The 6,000-nt window shown below is 37.7% G+C and overlaps 1 protein-coding gene across 4 annotated transcripts in view; it reads left to right on the forward strand.

The window, feature by feature from the left end:
- GLIPR1L2 (GLIPR1 like 2) overlaps positions 1–5,776 on the forward strand; it is a 41,600-nt gene extending 35,824 nt beyond the window's left edge. For all 4 annotated transcript variants that reach the window (NR_072995.2, NM_001270396.2, XM_011537949.2 and 1 more), the window contains 2 exons: positions 3,803–3,829; positions 3,912–5,776. Coding sequence is in view for 3 of the 4 variants with exons in the window: in NM_001270396.2 (NP_001257325.1) it covers positions 3,803–3,829; positions 3,912–4,249 (365 nt within the window). In the remaining variant the exon portion in view is untranslated. The remainder of the gene's footprint in view (positions 1–3,802; positions 3,830–3,911) is intronic.
- The last annotated feature ends 224 nt before the right edge of the window (positions 5,777–6,000 follow it).

The following is a 6,000-nucleotide window of genomic DNA, read 5'->3' on the forward strand; positions in this document are numbered from 1 at the left end:
CTAAAGGATGACATTCACCAAAAAGAAGAGATGAATGAAAAAACTTGAGTGAAAGAACTCTCTGTGAGCCCTGAATCTTAATGGATAGACTAAAACTCAAACAATCTGAGAGTTATAGTCACAAAAAAAAATACAAGAAATATTGGAAACATACAAATGATACAATTAATAAAACTTGGGAGGAGAAGAGAGAGATAGAAAAAATAGCTTGTTTCCTCATCATTTATAGCTAAGGGCCAAAGATACTAAATAGAATATTTAAAGCTGACAAACAATAGAGGTGTAAGTAAGTTTAAATGTATGTAACTATTTAATGAAACATATAATCAATGAAAATTAATGATGAGAAGTGAAGAAAGATGCAAAGAATAAACATACTATTACATAACTGCTCATACTAAGGTATCAATAGACACACAAATACCAAATGAGAAAATACAAACTATATGACAAAAGACTTTTTAAAAGAAAATCTAATATAGAAATCATTACATAAAATATAAAGTAAGACCAAGCGCAAAAGGCTAAAATAACGGCAAAGATCCAAAGGAAGGTCAGTTCATCTCCAAGGTGCCTTAACAATGAGTTCTAAATTTTCCCCTAAGAGTAATATTACTGCAAGACAAAGTTCTTTGTTGCTATTGGGTTCTCTACGTGAGAACTCATTTATCCTCCTACTATGCTTCCTAGTGGAATTCAGGATTGGTTATCTGACCATCATATTGTTTAGCTCTGTGTCCCCACCCAAATATCATCTTGAATTGTAATCCCCACATGTTGAGGGAGGGACCTGGTGGGAGGTAATTAGATCAGGGGGGCAGTTTCTCTCATGCTGTTCTCATGATAGTGAGTTCTCATGAGATCTGATGGTTTAAAGTGTTTGGCAGTTGCCCCCTGCCTCTCCTGCCACCATGTAAGATGTGCCTTGCTTCCCCTTCACCCTCTGTCATGACTGGAAGTTTCCTGAGGCCTCTCCAGCCATGCAGAACTGTGAGTCAATTAAACCTCCTTTCTTTGTAAATTATCCAGTCTCAGGTAGTTCTTTTTAGCAGTGTGAAAATCAACTAATACATGAAATTGGTACCAGTTATAGTGAGGCATTGCTGAAAAGATACCTGAAAATGTGGAAGCAACTTTGGAACTGGGTAACAGGCAGAGGTTGGAACCATTTGGAGGGCTCAGAAGAAGACAGGAAGATGTGGGAAAGTTTGGAACTTTCTAGAGTCTTGTTGAATAGTTTTGACCAAAATGCTGATAGTGATATGGACAATGAAATCCAGGCTGAGGTGGTCTCAGATGGAGATGGGAAACTTGTTGGGAACTGGAATAAAGGTCATTCTTGCTATGCTTTAGCAAACAGGCTGGTGGCATTTTTACCCATGCCCTAGAAATCTGTGGAACTTTGAGCTTGAGACAGATGATTTAGGGTATCTGGCAGGAGAAATTTCTAAGCAGAAAAGCACTCAAGATGTGACCTGGCTGTTTGTAAAAGCATACAGTCTTATGTATTCTCAAAGAGATGATCTGAAATTAAAACCTACGTTTAAAAGGGAAGCAGAGCATAAAAGTTTGGAAAATTTGCAACCTGACCATGTGGTAGAAAAAATATATATATATTTTTTTTTCTGGGGAGAAATTCAAGCTGGCTGCAGAAATTTGCATAAGTAACAAGGAGCCAAATGTTAATCACCAAGACAATGGGGAAAACGTCTCCAGGATATTTCAGAGATCTTCATGGCAGCCCCTCCCATCACAGGCCCAGAGGCCTAGGAGGGAAAAATTGTTTCATGGGCCAGGCCCAGTCCCCGCTGCTCTGTGTAGCCTTGGGACATGGTTCCCTGCCTCCCAGCCATTCCAGCTTAAGCTGTGGCTCAAAGGGGCCAAGGTACAGCTCAGGCCATTGCTTTAAAGGGTGCAAGCCCCAAGCCTTGGTAGCACCTTGGCAGCATCCATGTGGTGTTAGGCTTGCAGGTGCATAGATGACAAGAGTTGAGCTTTGGGAGCCTTCACGTAGATTTCAGAGGATGTTTGGAAACACCTGGATGTCCAGGCACAAGTTTGCTGCAGGGGTGGAGCCCTCATGGAGAACCTCTACTAGGGCAATGCAGAGGGGAAATGTGGAGTGGGGGCCACCACACAGAGTCCCTACTGGGGCACTGCATAATAGAGCTGTGAGAAGAGGGCCACCATCCTCCAGATCCCAGAATGACAACTTGCACTATGTGCCTGGAAAAGCCACAGGTACTCAATGCCAGCCTGTGAAAGCAGCCACAGGGCCTGAACCCTTCAGAGCCACAGGGGCAGAGCTTCCCAAGTCCTTGGGAGCCTACCCCTTGCATCAGCCCTGGATGTAAGACATGGAGCCAAAGGAGATTATTTTGGAGCTTTAAGATGTAATGACTGTCCTGTTGGGTTTTGAACTTGCATGGGGCCTGTAGCCCCTTTGTTTTGGCCAATTTCTCCCATTTGGAATGGGAGCATTTACCCAATGCCTGTACCTTCATTGTATCTTAGAAGTAACTAACTTGCTTTTGATTTTACAAGCTTATAGATGGAAGGGACTTGTCTTGTCTCAGATGAGACTTTGAACTTGGACTTTTGGGTGAATGCTGGAATGAGTTTAGACTTTGGGGACCCTTGGAAAGGCCTGATTGTGTTTTGAAATGTGAGAAGGACATGAGATTTGGAAGGGGCTGTGGCAGAATGATATGGTTTGGCTCTGTGTTCCCACTCAAATCTCATCTCAAATGGTAATCTCCAAGTGCTGAGGGAGGGACCTGGTGGGAGGTGATTGGATCATGGGGACAGTTTCCCCCATGCTGTTCTCATGATAATGAATGAATTCTCATAAGATCTGGTGGTTTAAAAGTGTTCGGCAGTTCTCCCCTCACTCTCCCTCCTGCCACCATGTAAGATGTGCCTTGTTTCCCCTTCACCTTCCACCATGATTTTAAATTTCCTGAGGCCTGCCCAGCTATGCAGAACTATGAGTCAATTAAACCTTTTCTTTTCTTTTCTTTTCTTTCTTTTTTTTTTTTTTTTGAGACAGAGTCTTGCTCTGTCGCCAGGCTGGAGTGTAATGGCACCATCTTGGCTCACTGCAACCTCCGCCTCCAGGGTTCAAGTGATTATCCTGCCTCAGCCTCCCAAGTAGCTGAGACTACAGGCAAAACCTCTTTTCTTTGTAAATTACCCAGTCTCAGGTAGTTCTTTATAGCAGTATGAAAATGGACTGATACATCTCTCAGCCCAAATGAGCAGAAGAAAGGGAATTTATTTCCTAAAAACTAGTATTATCTCATTGGACTAGTTAACTAAAAATATTGAATGCCAGGCTATAGAGCTAACTTTACCTTCTGGGAAATTAAGAGCAACTGAAAGCTTCTGAAAATAAGAATTAAATGAGGAAAGTGAATAGATTTCTAAGATTAATTAGGAGTTATCTGTGGGGGCAAAGGGAGATGAAAATAGATATTGTAGAATCCTAGAATGTTGGAGCTGGAACAATATTTTAAAGGCAGAAGTGGAGAAATGTATGTAAGGTCAATGACATAAAGCCAGAATTAGCACTAGAATGCATATCTCTTTACGCATATATTTCCATACTTTCTGTAGCAGACCAGGCTGATTTCACTAAAAGAGAATATATTGTACTTTAAAATTGGCCACTGGTTGGAGGGAGGACATCAAAGATAATGCCTGAGAACTAGGAGAAAGTGACACTATTATTGGGAGATTATCTTATTTTTTAGACAAAGAAGAAATTTTATGTAATTTTTGTGGACTTTCTTTTTCTTTCTAGGTAATGCAGATCGTGACCAAGCCACATGTATGTATTGTTGTCCTTTATTTCTTGAACAATTGAACTGCTTTATATGAAATCCAGCTTTCAATTGCTTCTTTGTTTACAGATTACCGATTTTGGTATCCAAAATGGGAAATGCCCCGGCCAGTTGTGTGTGATCCACTGTGCACATTCATTTTATTATTGAGAATATTATGTTTTATCCTGTGTGTCATAACTGTTTTGATAGTACAGTCTCAGTTTCCAAATATCTTGTTGGAACAACAAATGATATTTACCCCTGAGGAATCTGAAGCAGGGAATGAAGAGGAGGAAAAAGAGGAAGAGAAGAAAGAGAAAGAGGAAATGGAAATGGAAATAATGGAAATGGAGGAGGAAAAAGAAGAGAGAGAGGAGGAGGAGGAGGAAACACAAAAAGAAAAGATGGAGGAAGAGGAAAAATAAGAGTAGAAAGAGGAGGAAAAAGATGTATCACCAATATAAACCAAAAGTGTAATACAAAAAAAGACAGAAAAAAAAAAAAAGTAAAACACTGAGTTTTAACAAGAAAGAAAATATGCAAACCACCATTGGAATGTTTTTTATTCCCTTCTCTCCTATACTTATTCAATCAATTTAAATTTGTAAAACAAAGAAACAAAAAACATGTAAGGTGGGCTCTTTGACACTAAGAACAGATAAAGACATGACAGGAAAAACACTGAAAAACATTTGACCAGTCTAATTAATCTTAAGATTTCACCATGTTATTCTAATAAAGTAGGGAATTTTCATTTTCTAAACATGTTTCCATCTCTGTGTTTTAAATAGTAAGGTGCTTAAGATCATTCCAAGTTCATAACAACCATTGAATAAAATTTGTATTTTTTTGTTTTTACTGTTACTGTCATAGTTTTTATTGGTGGTAGTGGTATTTTCATGTGATATTAAGGTATCTAATATTATTATTTGTCTTTGTGGTTTTTGGAATAGTTTAAGTGGTACCTGTACATCCTGCTAGGATGCAAACTTATTATTTATAATTAATGTTCAATATTTCATTAAAGACTTGCTGTAATTTTCTGCCACCAAGGGCTAATAAATGCCATAATTTTAATTAGTTGTGGTAGAGGAATCTGGGTGCTTCCAAATTTATATGATAAAATAAATAAATTTTTTAAAAACTATTAACTTGTTATTCAATAGGTATAGTAAAAGTTAACAGATTAATAAGATAACTGCTTACCACTAGTAATACTAATAAATGAACTAAATAAAAATACCTAGCATAGGAGATTTCTTTATCTATAAAATAAATGGATAGCACTAGATGACCACTAAGACCTCTTCCATCAATGAATATTCATGGATCAACTTTGTAAAGGAATCAATAGTAGTTGTGAAGTACACTAAGCAAACACCTGAGGGAAAAACTTGATTCCCATGAAAATATTCCTGAACTCAGCACCTTATATGGCAAAATAATAAATACCTTTTATTACTCAATTTTAAAATAGGCAAAAAGCAATGTATAATATTTTTCCAATTGCCATTCCATACTCAGCTGTCTTATTGTTGCACACTTATTAGAACTCAATGTGACTGAGATGTGAAAGGTTGATATAATTCTATTTATGACAGGGACTTAGGGAACTTATTCTAATTGAGAATCAGAGGCTTAATAAACCTGAAGGTTTAAGTGAAAGAAATGACATTGAAAGAATCACTGCATATCTGATGTTTTCAAATAAAACAATCTCTGTTTTCTGGTTTTGATAGAATATTGTGTTCTAAAGCTATATTTCTCAATGTGTGGTTCCACTGAGGGAAAGAAAAAAAAAAAAACCTAGCATAGCCAAATACCTCAAATGGTATAAATGCTATGTGTATTTACTCTGTTGTTCTTTAGTTGTATCAATATTCTGTTAAAAACCTGTTCGAAGTAGGGCAAGATGAGAATTATATTAAAAAGCCCTGAGCTATCCTCTTGGATTTGAATGTTTCTGTTTGGTTTGTTTCCTTTGCTTTGTTTTTTTTTTCAAAGAGCTCCTGTTTGTAGAAATTAGATATTTTTCTATCTATGAAGTCAGCCTCTGTTCCACCAGTCCCCTGAGAAAAAGCCTTAGGTAGAGAAAAGGGCTAGTTCTCTACAGTGACGTTATTTATTATTATTATTGTACATTTGTGTTGTATTTCATAGCTTCCAAAGTCCTTTC

Source organism: Homo sapiens, chromosome 12, assembly GCF_000001405.40.
Source record: "Homo sapiens chromosome 12, GRCh38.p14 Primary Assembly".
NCBI lineage: Eukaryota > Metazoa > Chordata > Mammalia > Primates > Hominidae > Homo > Homo sapiens.